The sequence below is a fragment of the Homo sapiens genome, chromosome 5 (genome assembly GCF_000001405.40).
Source record: "Homo sapiens chromosome 5, GRCh38.p14 Primary Assembly".
Taxonomy (NCBI): domain Eukaryota; kingdom Metazoa; phylum Chordata; class Mammalia; order Primates; family Hominidae; genus Homo; species Homo sapiens.
Window position 1 is genome coordinate 131,737,390 of NC_000005.10, and position 17,008 is coordinate 131,754,397.

At 38.1% G+C, this 17,008-nt stretch overlaps 1 protein-coding gene across 4 annotated transcripts in view; it reads right to left on the bottom strand.

The window, feature by feature from the left end:
* The window catches only part of FNIP1 (folliculin interacting protein 1), a 155,304-nt gene that overhangs the window by 95,676 nt on the left and 42,620 nt on the right, over positions 1 to 17,008 (bottom strand). For all 4 annotated transcript variants that reach the window (NM_001346114.2, NM_001008738.3, NM_133372.3 and 1 more), the window contains exon 2: positions 7,175 to 7,301. In NM_001346114.2, the coding sequence (NP_001333043.1) occupies positions 7,175 to 7,301 (127 nt within the window). The remainder of the gene's footprint in view (positions 1 to 7,174; positions 7,302 to 17,008) is intronic.

Here is a 17,008-nt window from a genome sequence, read left to right on the forward strand (position 1 = left end):
GAACTGAAGTATGTCCCTTTTCTTCCTCTAGCAAACTTTTGTTTCAGAGATTGGACATACAGGGTTACCTCAGCCTGGAATGTCTTTCCAGCTCTCTCAAGTGCTTCCTCTTTCACCTTAACTCTTAACGCATTTTTCCCCCATAGTCTAAGCTTAAAATATCACTTTCTTGATCTCCCTAGACTAAATGAAGTCCTTTCATGGCAATTCACTTAAACATTGTCATCCTTTAACCTCTTTATCTATAAATCGGAATAATAATGGTAGTACTCTTCTGTTTTACATATATTTACTCTTTACATGTAAAGATAGTAAGTGCTAACGTGAGTTAGCTGCTGCTATCATTATTACTTTTATTAGACATACTTGGAATACACATTTCATTACACATATTTGTGTAATTATCTGTTAACTGTCTCTTTCTCCTGTTAGATTCTTAGTTCCATGAGGAAAAGGACTATGTCTTCTTTTATTCACCTGTATTCCCTAGTGCTTAACAGCGGTTGCCAACCTTTTTGGCACCAGGCACCAGTTTCGTGCAAGACAATTTTTCTGCAGACTGGGGCAGGGTAGTGGGGATATGGTTTCAGGATGAAACTGTTCCACCTCAGATCAGCAGACATTAGTTTTTGTCATTAGAAAAGGAAAGACCTGAAATCTCAGTATAGGTTTTTTTGCTTTTCTTTTTTTTAAGAGTTGAGTTCTCACCATATTGCCCAGGCTGGCCTCAAATTCCTGAGCTCAAGCAATCCTCTCACCTCACCATGCCCAGCTTCAGTATAGTTTTGATTTTCATTTTCTTAATTATGGATAAGGGAGAGGATCTTATAAACGTATGATTTTATTAAACGTGTCATATCAATTTGTATATCAACGCTCAGCTCTTGTCCTTCACTCAATTATCTACTGAGTGGTTCTTGATTTCTAGGAACTCTTTATATTAACACTTGGCATTTTAAATTGTCAAAGTGTTTTCTCAGGTTGCCATCTGTCTTTTAACTTTCCTTATGGTGTTGTTTTCTGTTTTATCATGCAAGTTGAAAAAAAATTGGCTGTCAAATTTGTCAATCTTTTACTTTATGGCTTCTGAATTTTAACTCATAGCTAGAAATATCTTTGCTTGAGACAGAGTCTCACTCTGTTGCCCAGGCTGGAGTGCAGTGGCATGACTGCAATCTTGGCTCACTGTAGCCACCGCCTCCTGGGATCAAGCAATTCTCGTGTCTCAGCCTCCCTAGTAGATGAAACTACAGGCACGTGCCACCACACCCGGCTAATTTTTGTACTTTTTTTTTTAGTAGAGACGGGGTTTCACCACGTTGGCCAGGCTGGTCTTGAACTCCCGACCTCATGTGATCCACCCTCCTCAGCCTTTCAGCCTCCCAAAGTGTGGGATTACAGGCATGAGCCACTGCATCCGGCCTTTTTTTTTTTTTTGGCCAGCGGGGAGAGGGTCTTGCTTTGTCACTTAGGGTAGAGTGCAGTGGCGTGATCCTGGCTCATTGCAACCTCCACTTCCTGGGCTCAAGTGATTCTTCTGCCTCAGTCTCCCAGTAGCTGGGACTACAGACACTCAGCACCACACCCAGCTAATTTTTATGTTTTCTGTAGAGACGGGGTCTTCCTATGTTGGCCAGACTGGTCTCAAACACCTGGCCTCAAGTAATTCACCCATGTTGACCTCCCAAAGTGCTGGGTTTACAGGCGTGAGCCACTGCACCCAGCCTAGAGATACCTTTTCCACTCCACAGATATATAGGAACTCCCTCATTTTTTCTTTTGTAATGTTATAGTTTTATATTTTTATATTTAAATGTTTGATATACTTGGTTTCATCCTGATGTACACTGTAAGATATGAATCCAAATTAAGGCTGGGCACAGTGACTCATGCTTGAGCCCAAGAGTTTGAGACCAGCCTGGATAAAACAGTAAGACGCCATCTTTAAAATAATAATAATAGTAAGTAGTAACAGTATGAGTCTAAATTAATCTTTCTTCCACATGGCTAATTGTCTCAACACCATTTAAGATGATGCCTTAATCATATACCAAAATTCCTGAACGTATTTGGATGTATTTCTGATCCTCTATTTTGTTCCATTAGTCTATTGCCTATTTATGTGTCAATAACACACTGTTTGGCCAGGCGTGGTGGCTCACGCCCGTAATCCCAGCACTTTGGGAGGCCGAGGTGGGTGGATCACGAGGTCAGGAGATGGAGAACACCCTGGCTAACACAGTGAAACCCTGTCTCTACTAAAAATACAAAACGTTAGCCGGGCGTGGTGGCCGGTGCCTGTAGTCCCAGCTACTCGGGAGGCTGAGGCAGGAGAATGGCGTGAACCCAGGAGGCGGAGCTTGTAGTGAGCTGAGATTGCGCCGCTGCTCTCCAGCCTGGGTGACAGAGTGAGACTCCAGCTCAAAAAAAAAAAAAAAAAAAAAAAAACACTGTTTTAGATACTGAGACTGTGCAGTATATTTTCAAATGTGATAGGACTGGCTCATCCTCACTGCCCTTCTTTTTCAGTTTTCCAACCAATCATTGCTAATTTTTTTCCATTTGAACTTTAGAATCCACTATTTAGTTCCAGACACTACCCCCACCCCAAACACACAAAAATAAGGATAACATTGTTTCTGTGATAGCATTATTTTACAAAGCACTTTGGACAACTTTATAACATTGACTACTGCCATGGAATATGTTTAGCCTTTCCATTTGTTAAGGTACGTTTTTACGTCCCTTAAGAAGACTTTTAAAGTTCTAAACTTACAGATTTTGTTAAGTGTATGCATAGGCAACTTTGTCATTTTAATTTCTATTTTAAATGAATGTCTCACTTTTATGTGTTCAAACTGGAAGCTATTTGCATATATTGAGCTTACTGATTTCTGTATATTAACCTAAATCCAATTATCTAACCAAATCCTATGTGCAAATGTGATATCATAAATAAGACTCAACTATTCAATTAGCACTGTACGATGCTTCGGAGTGTTTCTCATGTCTTAAAATCTGTAATCATCTTTCCAAAGTTATGTGAATTTACTGATGTACAACTTTATCCTTGTTTAGAATCAGTGAAAGCTGATACATGTGAATGGTCATATAACTTAACTGGGAACTCATGAAATAGCATTGCACTGTTGTTGACATAAAAACAATGTCTAGGATAAGGATAATAGTGTGATAAAATCAGAATGGATCCATTTGGCTATGTTAGTGTTCATATCGAAACCATATCTCAATATATTTTTCTACCACGGGAAGGTTCTTCTGTCAGAGATGTTGAACCAGAGCAACTCCATCTTGAATAGGGGCTGGGTAAAATAAGGCTCAGACCGACTGGGCTGCATTCCCAGATGGTTAAAGCATTCTAAGTCACAGGAGGAGATAGGAGGTTGGCACAAGACATAAGTCATAAAAACCTTGATGATGAAAAAGCCTGCAGTAAAGAAGCTGGCTAAAATGCACCAAAACCAAGATGGCGACAAGAGTGACCTCTGGTCATCCTCACTACTACACTCCCACCAGCTCCATGACAGTTTACAAATGCCACTGGCAACATCAGTAAATTACAGTATATGGTGTAAAAAATGGGAGGCATGAATAATCCACCCCTTGTTTAGCATACAATCAAGAAATAACCATAAAAACCCACAATCAGCAGGCCTCGGGGCTGGTCTGCCTATGGAGTTGCCATTCTTTATTCCTTTACTTTCTTAATAAACTTGCTTTCACTTTACGGATTTGCCCTGAATTCTTTCTTGCTCAAGATCCAAGAACCCTCTCTTGGGGTCTGGATCCAGACCCCTTTCCGGTAACACTTCTTTAAGATCACTACACATATTCACTTTAATTGGGTTTTATAATTCAACAGTCATTTTTCATAAAATATATAACAGATCTGAAAAAATGAGTTCTGAGGAAGCTATACACTGATTAACAATTTTATTTCAACTTACATAAGACACTATTTGAGCATGCAAAGTACTTTGGTTTCTGAAGCATAATCAAAGCATTTATGTAGTTCACTTTGTATAGAATTTAAAATGTAATAAAATACATAGCTTCCTAATTTTCTCCCAAAACCCATTAAATATACTCTACATACACAATGTTTGCTTTGCATGGAAATACAAAAATGATCTGCTTATATTAATAAACTGCTGTTATATTCTTCATTGACAATTCTTTGGTTCAACCAAACGCAGAAATGGATCAATATTCCACTGTGAAATATTGCCTTCTCTCACACTCCAGATAAAAGGTACTCAAAGTGAATTATGATCATCTATAATCTTTACAAGGAAAACTGCCATGTGTCTTACACATTTAAAAGGACTCCAGTAAGTATTTTTACAATGACTATTTTTTAACGCTGAAATAGCTTCACAGTAAACAATCAATAGGATTTTGATTTAATTAAATACACTCAAACATATTGAGTGAGCCCAAATATTACTATCTTCTACTCCTACTTGGCAATTTTCAAATGATATTTTTCAAAAATTCAGATTCAGGCTGATAACAAACTGTCCCAAGTAGCCTGAAGAGGGAGGACTGCGTGATCCCAGGAATTCAAGTCCAGCCTGGGCAACATAGCAGGACAGATGGACGCTGCTTCCAAATGAGAAAATGTTTTAATTTCTTTTTTGATAAAGCGAACAGAGTAAAACAATTTTGCAAGGCTCACATTCTAAAGCTTGACTTTCTGTTTATAACTCATGGCGACATTATGTTCTAATTTTTTTAAAAAGAATGTTTTCAATAAAAGTTTTGGTAAATAGGCCAGGCAAAGTGGCTCCCGCTGGTAATCCCAGCACTTTATGAGGCCAAAGCAGGCGGTTCGCTTGAGCCCAGAAGTTCGAGACCAGTCTGGCCAACAAGGCGAAACCCCATTTCTACTAAAAATGTAAAAATTACCCAGGTGTGGTGGTGCACACCTGTAATCCCAGCTACTCGCAAGGCTGAGGCACGAGAACTGCTTGAGCCTGGAGGCAGAGGTTTCAGTGAGCTGAGATTGTGCCACTGCACTCCAGCCTGGGCGAGAGAGCGAGACCCTGTCTCAAGAAAACAAACAGACAACAAAAAACCCTGTCTCAAAAAAGAAAAGGCTTTGGTATATTAAATGGTCAAAATAATATTTATAGTCCTTATTCTCTCTTGTAAATTGTTTTAAACTAAGAAAAGTGTTTTAAAACTAAGAAAGAAGAACATGAGAAGTTACTTCAACATTTACCACAGCAAAATAGAATATTGTACAAATACAGCAAAGCTGAATAATTTACTTTCATACAGCAAACTGCTAATGCTTAAACATAATGTCTTTATTATGTATGAACCCAAATTATAATGTAGAAAGTTTAAAAAAATTTACAGCACAATGTCCTTCTTTCCATATATAGAACCCAGGACAAACAATGAGTATTTCAATATGTACAGTAGTGTTCAAAAGGAAGACATAAAATCTTCAGGAGAGTATTTACAGGATTTTGAAAATAAACTTCCTAACAGTAATTACAATCGATCAAAATGTGTCCTGAGTACTTACCACATGTAAGGCAATGTGCAGTGTAGGAAATAAAGGTGAGTAACAGGACAATTTTTTACTTTAAGGTTTTTTTCCCAGTCTAGTAACAAATACACATACGAATACAGCTATGATATAGAAGGCTATGAATATGAGTAAAGAATTATGAGAATTCTGATGGAGGAGAAAATAAATCTACCTAGAGAAAATCAGAAAGGATTCATAAAGTTGTGATAAACTCTGAAGGAGGATAAATTTTCAATTAAGGGAGATAGTATATAGGATAAAGGCATAATAAAATAAATGAGACTGGAAGTAGTCAACAATGTTTGATTTCTAGACACTGATGAGTTTCTAGAAAAGTTTTATAATAAAAAGAAGAGTAGGTTTATAGGCAAATTTCAGAAAGTTGAGTAATAACTGGATAGTTTGAGAAGAGAGTCAATGTATTACTACTGAGACACCGAGAGACAGAGAAGACCAAGGAGAGACCAACAGAGAGACTGAGAAGAGACACTCTAGAGAGCCTGAGTGATAGAGAGACAAAGGGAAAATGAGAGACACCAACAGACACCAAGAAAGATGACTGAGAGGGACGAAGAGGCCAGGGATGGGAAAAGACAGAGAAGGACACTGCTATGGACTGAATGTGTGTCTCTCCTCAAAATTTATATGTCGTCCTAACCCACCATGCGATATTAGGAGGTGGGGACTTTAGGAGGTGATTAGGTCATAAGAACGAAGTCCTCATGAATGGGGTTGGTGTCCTTATAAAAAGGACTTGAAGAGTTCTCTTGCCTTCTTTCCACCATGTAAAGGGTAGAGTGAGAAGTCAGCAGTCTGCAACCCAGAAGACAGCCCTCACAAAAAACTCAAATATGCTGGGAGAAACCAAAGTTTCTTGTTTAAGGCACCCAGTCTACAGTATTTTGTTATAGTAGCCTGAACTAGACAAACACAAACCTGAAGGAAAAAGTAAAGAAAAATTATTTTAGCAGCTTTGTGAATGTTTCCAAGCAAAGAGAAAAGCTGAGAGGGATGAAGGAATACATCGCAGGAGAGAAATTAATGAGACTAATGAAGCATCGTCCCAGAAAAGGTATGCAGGGAGAGTTCAAAAAACAGCATGAGTGGATTCTTACAGGGCTGTTTAACATAAAAGAGAAAAGCTGAACAAACACAAAATGAACAGCATTAATCAAAATTAAGAGTAAGGGAGAGGCATATGTTGAAATTCAATAGGATACTATCAAATACAAAAAAAAAAACTTCAATAAATGTTTGCTGAAAAAGTAATAAAAAATAATCGAGATAATTAAAAAAAAATCAGCCTCAGCCAAGTTCTGCTGAGCTGTTGTCAGCAGTCTAAATACAAAGAAGTCATGCTTATCACATTTGTTAAGTTAGCCTTGGATTTCAACTGTCTGCTTGACTGTCTCCAATTCTATGACTCCTAAGCATCAAACCACTCCTCAGCTATTCAAATCAAAATGTTAGATTCACCAAACATTTCCTTCTCCCTCAGCCCCAATATCCAGTCATTTCCTTCTCCCTCAGCCCCAATTATCCAGTTTGATAATACTGGAATTATCAAAATGTTCAACATTAAAAGTCAACCAAATCAATAATGATGCTCACCGATACTGATATGTCCTCATTTCTTCTCTTAACACTGGAGTCAAACAAAACATTTCTCCCTCGTCTTTCACAGTCTTGATATACAATCAGTCGAATCTGGCTTGGATCAAACTCTGGTAAAGGCCAACTTGAAAGAAAAGTAAGGAAAAGTAAAGATCCATTAGAGTTACATTAATAAATATTCCATATACATTATTAGAAATAAATCTATATAATAAAGCCCAAAATTATCTTATTGTTAAATAATATATATATCTTTATATTAAATATCACCAGTTCATGGCTGAAAACTTTAAAGTAAAAATAAAGGCAAAACAAAATTATCTTTATTTAAAAATAATACTGGTAACTATCAGTATATATAAAATATAGTTATCTCGTGATTTTTGAAAGCATTAACTTAATAAATATACATAAGTATATTTAACATAATGAAAATATGTACTGATTTCATGTCATGGACCAAGATGACATAATAAGGTTAACCCATATTTTTAAGTAGTTTTGTTACTATTTCTCCAATATGGAAATGTGAAAAATGAAATGGTTTTCAGTTTAAATAATAGCAAAGGACTTACAAGACAAAAAACAAGCCAAAAAAAAAAAAGTGGAGAGCAATCAAGTATAGTGAAAATTCTCATATGCTGCTGGTATGAATACAAACTGGCACAACTCCTGGGTGTGGTGGCTCACACCTGTAATCCCAGGACTTTGGGAGTTCAAGGTAGGAGGATCACTTGAGCCCAGGAGTTCAAGACCAGCCTGGACAACATAGTGAGACCCTGTCTCTACAAAAAGTTAACAAAATTCGCCAGGCATGGCAGCACACATCTGTAGTCCTAGCTACTTAAGAGGCTGCAGTGGGAGGATCGCTTGAGCCTGGAAGGTCGGGGCTATAGCAAGCTGTGATCATGCCACTGTACTCCACCCTGGGTGACAGAATGAGACCCTGTCTCAAAAAATAAAAATAAAAAATAAATAAATTGGCACAATCTCTTTAGAACACAGTTTTTTAAAAATTTATATATAAATTTAGTATGTGTATATATATGTGTGTGTATACATACACACACACATACACTAAAACAAATCCCAGTAAAAATGAAGTTGATCCCAGCAATTCCACTTCGGAAAAATTTATCACAATGAATGAATTTCAGCTATAGGCAAAAATGGACAGACCACAAGCAAAAGAAGTCAGACAATGACTCACACACACACAGATAGCTACTGTATTTTTCCACTTATATAGAGGTTAAAAACGTGCAACGTTTGTCTAGGGGTTCATACTTAGTTTTTAAACTATAAAGAAAACAATGTAAGTAATGACCTCCAGAGTTTGGAGAGTAATTTTCTAGGAGTAAGGTGGAGGGAAAAGTGTAACCAGAAAAGGGACGTAACAGGTGAACTGGCGCAATGACTATGTTCTCTGTTTTGACCAGATAGTGCTGACATGGATCTTTACTTTACAGTATGTATTTAAACAGTACATCACATTTGTTTTATGTACTTTTACATATCCATTACATTCCACAATTTAAAAGATTAATGGGGTGGGTGAGGCAGAGAAGAAGGGAAAGAGAAAACAAACCAAATGACAAATATCTGGTAAACTGAACACAATACAAATGACAGGACAGCTGCTAAGAAATGGGAGAACAGACATGCCAGGAGCTGTTTCTCATTAGTTACAACAGGCTATTTATTTTTTATAATTTCAACTTTTAAATTCAGGGGGTACATGTGGTGCAAGTTACATGCATATATCTCATGATGCTGAGGTTTAGGGTACAACTGATGCTGTCACCCAGAGAGAGAGCATACAACCCAACTATTAAGTTTTTCAACTCTTGCCCCTCTCCCTCCTGCCTTGCTCTACTAGTCCTCAGTGTCTATTGTTGCCATCCTTATGTCCATGAGTATCCAATGTTTAGCTCCCACTTATAACTGAGAACATGCGGTATCTGATTTTCTGTTCCTGCATTAATTCACTCAGGATAACGGCCTCCAGCTGCCTTCGTGTTGCTGCAAAGGACTGGATTTCATTCTTTTTTATGGCTGAGTAGTATTCCATAGTACATACATACCACATTTTCTTTATCCAATCCACCACTGATGGGACCCTCCCTAGGTTGATTCCATGTCTTTGCTATTGTGAACAATGCTGCAATGAACATACAAGTGCATGTGTCTTTTTGGTAGCTTTGTTTTCTTTTGGATATATACTCAGTAATGTGATCGCTGAGTCAAATGGTAGCTCTCTTTCAAAGTTCTCTGACAAATCTTCAAACTGCTTTCCACAGTGGCTAAACTACTTTACATTCCCATCAATGGTGTGTAAGTATTCCCTTTTCTCCACAGCCTCACCTGCATCTGTTATTTTTTGACTTTTTAATAATAGCCAATCTGATTGATGTGAGATGGTATCTCATTGTAGTTTTGATTTGTCTTTCTCTGATGACTAGTGATGATGAGCATTTTTTCATGTTTGTTGGCTGGTTGGATGTCTTCTTTTGAGAACTGTCTGTTCATATATTTTGCCCACTGTTTATTGGGGTTGTTTTTTGCTTGTTAAATTGTTTAAATTCCTTATAGATTCTGTATATTAGACTTTTGTCAAATGTACAGTTTGTGAATATTTTCTGCCATTATGTGGGTTGTCCACCAGGCACAATTCTTCACTTCCTTAAGAGAGCCTTAACCCTAACTCTGTCAACGTATGTGAAACTATGTGTAACCGGCAACATAAAACATCTTCATCCCAAATTCTTGACAGAAAATATAATTTTGGTTTTCTTCTGTCTAATCTTTAGTAAATGTCTGTGTGCTAGTAAATGATAAAGACCTACCTAGACATCCAGGCTAAACCAGAGACTCCTCCTTAAACCACAATGACTTGCATCACACTGAACTGTTTCTACTAAATTGTGCTTTCATACCATGCAAAGGAAACTGTAAAGGAACAGACCGACAAAGGATGAAAATAGGGAAAGGGGTCTCACGGAAACCAGTGAAAAAGAACATTTTAGAAAAGAAAAAGAACTACCACGGGAGTCACTAAAAAGTATCCACTAGAGAAGCAAAAGTCATTGGTGACCATAGCAAGGACAGTTCTAAGGAATAAAGAGTACAGAGGTCAGATTCTAGGGGACTGAAGAGTGAATAGGAGCAGAGAAAACAGACAACTGGTAAGAAAAAAAGAGAAAGAAAATGAAACCTCAAGTAGAGTGAGAGTGACAGATATTCTGCTATTTAAAAAATGACACATCTGAACATGTTTACATATATGCTGATGACAGAATCTGAGGTGGAGGAGAAATACAAGGCCTCTGAGGAAGTAGAGAACAGGATATAGAGCACAAGTGAAAGCATTAGCTCAAAGAAAATAACTCTCACACTAGGATGGAAAGAAAGGAGATAAAGATGTACATGGGTGCAGAAAGATTTGTAGATATGAAGGTAAGGTGCGGAGGGAATCCATATCTAAGAGATCCATTTTCTTTGTCAAGCAGGTGAAGGCAAGTAAGGGAAAGGTGGTAAGATGTGGGGATAGTAGAGAGTAAAAAAGAGAATAGCAGTTGTTGGGAAATAAAATAGTCATACACCATATAACGTTTTGGTCAACAACAAACTGTATATATGATGGTGGTCTCATAAGATTATAATGCAGTTCAAAAACTCCTATTGCCTAGTAACACTGTAGCTGTCATCACATGGTAGCACAAAGTATTACGCACATGTCTGTGGTGATGCTCATGTAAACAAACCTACTGCACTGTCAGTCATATGAAGGTATTACGGATACAATTATGTAAAATACGCAATACTTGATAATAAAAGACTATGTTGGCCGGGTGCAGTGGCTCACACCTGTAATCCCAGCACTTTGGGAGGCTGAGGTGGGCAGATCACAAGGTCAGGAGATTGAGACCATCCTGACTAACATGGTGAAACCCTGTCTCTACTAAAAGTACAAAACAAAAATTAGCCAGGCGTGGTGGCATGCACCTGTAGTCCCAGCTACTCAGGAGGCTGAGGCAGGAGAATCTCTTGAACCCAGGAAGCAGAGGTTGCAGTGAGCCAAGATTGCGCCACTGCACTCCAGCCTGGGCGACAGAGTGAGACTCTGTCTCAAAAAAAAAAAAGAAAAAAAAAAAAAAAGACTATGTTACTGGTTTATGAATTTACTATACTTTTATCATTATTTTAAAGTGTACCCCTACTTATAAAAAAATTAACTGTAAAACAGCCTTAAGCAGATCCTTCAGGAGGTATTCCAGAAAAAGGCATTATTAGCATAAGAGATGACAGTTCCATGTGTGTTATTACTCCTAAAGACCTTACAGTGGGACAAGATGTGGAGATGGAAGATAGTGGTACTGATAATCCTGACTCTATGTAGGCCTACGTTAATGGTGTGTTTGTGTCTCAGTTTTTAACAAAAAGGTTAAAAAAATTTAACTGAAAAAAGCTTAGAATAAGCACATAAAGAAAGAAAATATGTTTGTACAGCTGTACAATGTTTGTGTCCTAAACAAAGTGTTACTACACAACAGTTCAAAAGATTTTAAAATTAAAAAGTTAATAAGGAAAAAACTTACAATAAGCTAAGGTTAATTTTATTATTGAAGAAAAACATTTTTAATAAATTTAATGTAGCCTAAGTATACAGTGCTTATTTATAAAACCTACAGTAGTGTACAACACTGTCCTAGGTTTTCACAGTCACTGACTACTCACTCACTGACTCACCCAGTAACTTCCAGTCTCGCAAAATCCATTCACAGTAAGTGAATGGATCGCCCTATATAAGTGTACCACTTTTTATCTTTTTTTTTTTTTTTTTTGAGATGCAGTCTCAGTCTATCGTCCAGGCTGAAGTGCAGTGGTGCGATTTTGGCTCACTGCAACCTCCGCTTCCGGGTTCAAGTGATTCTCCTGCCTCAGCCTCCCCAGTTGCTGGGTTTACAGGCGTGTGCCATCATGCCTGGCTAATTTTTATATTTTTAGTAGACATGTGGTTCCACCATGTTGGCCAGGTTTGTCTCAAACTCCTGACCTCAGGTGATCCGCCTGCCTCGGCCTCCCAAAGTGCTGGGATTACAGGTGTGAGCCACTGTGCCCGGCCTACTTTTTATCTTTTATACCATATTTTTGCTGTACCTTTTCTATGTTTGGATATGTTTAGATACACAAATACTTACCATTGTGTTACAACTCCCTACAGTGTTCAGCACAGCAATACGCTGTACAGGTTTGTACCCCAAGAGCAATAGGCTATTATCATACAGCCTAGGTGTGTAGTAGACTATACCATCTAGTGTGTGTAAGTACACTGTGTGATGTTTGCATAACAACAAAATTGCCTAACAATGCATTCCTCAGAACAGAGCCCCATCATTCACTGGTGCATGAGTGTATGTTGAATAGAAAACATAAGATTTCCAGGCAATGCTGTACATCTACATAACGTTGAAGACTATGAACTAGGACGATGTACTGGCTGCAAACTACAGTTAGGTGATTTTCTCCAGTAGGACCTCATGTGCTTGAATTTGGATCAGACTGTGCCAAGGTAAGGGTTTTGATAGGTATACGGAACAAAAGAAAAGGAAGGCTATGGAAATGGAGTATAAGACTGACAAGAATACAGCTGAATTGATCTAAGCTAGTTAGGGAACGTAGTGATGGGACAACAATAACAAAAGAAAATGGAGGCAGTACGGTCAAAGTGCTGAAAAAACGCAAAGAAGGAGAGTGGGAGGCAGAGAGGACAAGGAATAGGAGGCTATAATCACAGGGCAGGATCCTAGAGTTTAAGATATTAGAGGTAGAATAGCTCATTTAATCATTAAATACAGATATGTACCTACTATGTGCCAAGCAGTGGTTAGGGCAAGATAAAAAAGAACCTCTCTGGAAGAAAGATACAACAGTAGCTAAGCAAAGAAATAAATTAACTTGATAACTTCAGGTAAGTCAATAGACTATGATAGAAGGTGGTAGTGAGAGAATGGTTTGGGTTGAGGGGAGGTATATTCTTCCCTTCTTTCTTTTTTTTTTTTTTTAGACAGAGTCTCTCTCTGTCTCTCAGGCTGGGGTGCAGTAGCATGATCTCGGCTCACTGCAACTTCTGCCTCCTGAGCTTGAGAGACTCTTGTGCCCCAGCCTCCCAATTAGCTGAGATTACAGGTATGTGCCACCACGCCCAGCTAGTTTTTGTACTTTTAGTAGAAATAGGGTTTTGCCATGTTGGCCAGGCTGGTCTCAAACTCCTGGCCTCAAGTAATCTGCTGGGATTACAGGTAGCACGAGCTACCACACCTGGCCAATACATTCATTTTTTAAAAGGTGCCTAATATGGACAAAATTTTCTGGAGAAAATGAAAAGTTGGGCTTCACTGGATATGTGGTCTTCTAACAGACCTTATATAAGCAGTGATGCCATTTCATTTAGCCAAACTCCTTTGGTCTCCCAGACACCCAAAGAATAAAATCCAAGTTCCTTTGCTTAGATGTAAAGCTCTTCATGGGCTGGCCCAGATCTGCCTTTCCAGACTCTTTTCATGTTACCCATAATTATCATACTGAGCTTCTCAAAGGTGCCAAGATATATCAATTCCATGCCTTTGTACAAGCCATGTCTTCTACCTGAAATATTCTCACTCTCCTGGCAAACTCTTATTTATTCTTAAAGATCTAGCTCCAAATGTCACCTACTCTAAAAAGTTCTTATTCATTCCTCCAAGCAGAGTTAGCTACTGAGTTTTGGGATTACACTTTACCTTAGATTATAAATCTAATAGTATCTTCATCAGATTGTCTTGTAATTTATCTGTTCACATGCCTGTTTCTTCCACTAGAAAAAAAAAGCTCCCTGAGGGAAGATCTTATTCATCTTTGAATCCCCAGTCCCAAGCTTGGTAAATGAGTAAAACTACATATCCCTAAGTAAATGTAATATCATAGGCACTAAATATTTCAGGAGTGAATGGATTCCACAATCTGAAAAAAAAAAAAAGAAGAAGAAAAAACAAATGTGCTTTCTTTAAAAAGTTAAAAGGCATGTCCATGAACTCATGAATAAACAAAATGTGGTATGTCAATACAATGGAGTATTTGGCCATAAAAAGAATGCATACTACATGGGTGAACCTTGAAAACATTAGGTTAAGGAAAAAAAGCCAAACACAAAAAGGCTACGTATGATGATTCCATTTACATGACTTGTCCAGAATAGGCAAATCCATAATGACTGCAATGTGTACGAGGTTTCTTTCTGGGGAGATGAAATGTTCTGGAATTAGACAGTGGTGATGGTCACCAAAAAACTTTGTAAATATACCACAAACAAAAACAGCAACAACCAAACCAACCTAAAACACTGAATCACGCACTTTAGAAGAGTAGATTTTATGGAATGTGAAGTATATCTCAGCAATAATAAAAAAGGCTTTATTACCAAACTTATTTGTGAGTTTGTATTCTTTTTTTTTGGAGACAAGAGTTTCGCTCTGTTGCACAGGCTGGAGTGCAGTGGCGCGATCTTGGCTCACTGCAAGCTCCGCCTCTCCGGTTCGCGCCATTCTCCTGCCTCAGCCTCCCGAGTAGCTGGGACTACAGGTGCCAGCCACCACGTCCGGCTAATTTTTTGTATTTTTAGTAGAGACAGGGTTTCACCTTGTTAGCCAGGATGGTCTTCATCTCCTGACCTCATGATCTGCCTGCCTCGGCCTCCCAAAGTGCTGGGATTACAGGTGTGAGCCACCGCGCCCAGCCATGAATTTGTATTCTTTGTTAATTTAAAATAGGACTTTATGAAAAAGGTAAAATTATAAAGCTTCTATAAAGAAACACAGGTGATTATGCCACCTTAGGTTAGGCAAAGAGTTCTTAAACAAGATACAAAAATTACTATGCATAAAATAAAAAATTGGTAAGTTGGACTTTATAAAAATTTTAAACCTGAACATCTAAAAAAAAAAAAAAAGACCAGTCCAGAGATTGGAAGACAATATTTGCAATGCACATATCTGATAAAAACTTATAAACAGCCAAAACAACCCCCACAAAGCAGTAAGCAATAAACAATCCAATTTTAAAAGGGTACAGGTACAACTTGGGCATTTCACAAAAGGAGATATATGAATGGATAATCAGTATGTGGAAATGATAATTAACAGTGTTAATCATCAGAGAAATGCAAATTAAAACATGGCCACGGCCGGGCGCGGTGGCTCACGCCTGTAATCCCAGCACTTTGGGAGGCCAAGGCAGGTGGGTCACCTGAGGTCAAGAGTTCAAGACCAGTCTGACCTACATGGGAGAAATCCCAACTCTACTAAAAAAAAATATAAAATTAGCCAGGTGTGGTGGTGCATGCCTGTAATCCCAGCTACTTGGGAGGCTGAGGCAGGAGAATTGCTTGAACTCGGGAGGTGGAGGTTGCAGTGAGCCACGATTGCATCACTGCACTCCAGCCTGGGCAACAAGAGTGAAACATCGTTTCAAAACAAAACAAAAACATACAAACAAACAAAAAAAATGGCCACAAGCATTAAAATGGCTAAAACTGACACGACTAATAACACCAGTGGTTGGTAATAATATGAAGCCCTTGGAACTCCCATACATTGTTAGTAGGAGTGTAAAAGTGTACAACCATTTTTGGAATATTGCTTGACAGCTATGATTCAGCAATTCCTCTCACAGGAAATTTATCCAATAAAAATGAAAATAAATGTTCACAAATACTCTCACAGAAATGTTCACTGCAGTTTTATTTAAACCCAAATGCCACAGAGAATGGATAAACAAACTACGATATATTCCTACATTGAAATACTACTCAGAAATACCAAGGAATGAATTACTGATCCCACGGTAACAAAGATGAACTCAAAAAATACTGTTGCATGAAAGAATCCAGACACAATGGGGCACCTACTGATAATTCTATTTATGTGTAGAAGAGGTAAAACTAATGGACAATGATAGAAATCAAAGCAGTGATCAGGGATAGGGAGTGAGGGAAATGGAGGAGAAATGTATACTAAGGAACTTTCCAGAGTGATCAAAATGTCCTTTATCTTTATTGCCATTGTGGTTAAGTAGATGCATATATTTTTCAAAATAAATTATACATTTTATTATATGCAAATTATAGCTCAATTTTTAAAAGAGAAAGACTACTAAAAAAAGTAATACTATATTCATCAAGTTACATTACATTATGGACATCTCATTAAAACAGATTTTTTTTTTTTTTTGAGACAGAGTCTCGCTCTGTCACCAGGCTGGAGTGCGGTAGCACAATCTCAGCTCACTGAAACCTCCACCTCCCGGGTTCAAGCAATTCTCCTGCCTCAGCCTCCTGAGTAGCTGGGACTACAGGCACATGCCACCATGTCCAACTAATTTTTGTATTTTTAGTAGACACAGGGTTTCACCATGTTGGCCAGGATGTTCTTGATCTCTTGACCTCGTGATGTGCCTGCCTTGGTCTCCCAAAGTGGTGGGATTACAGGCATGAGCCACCATGTCCGGCCTAAAACAGACATATTAAACATTTACCACACTCACAGCATAATGCCAGGTACTGGGAATATTTCTCTGTCACATTCTTTATGTATTCATTCACTGACTTAAAAGCGTTCATTCAGCATGAAAAGAAAAAGATAGCCATACCATGAAATGCTCAGTCTAACAGAAAAGACAGACAAATGATTTTATCAACGTGATACATGCTATGACTGAGGCAAACTTACAATCTAGATAAGAGGTGTGCATAAGCAGGTCAGGTAAGAGTTTACTGAAGAAAAATCATAAACGACA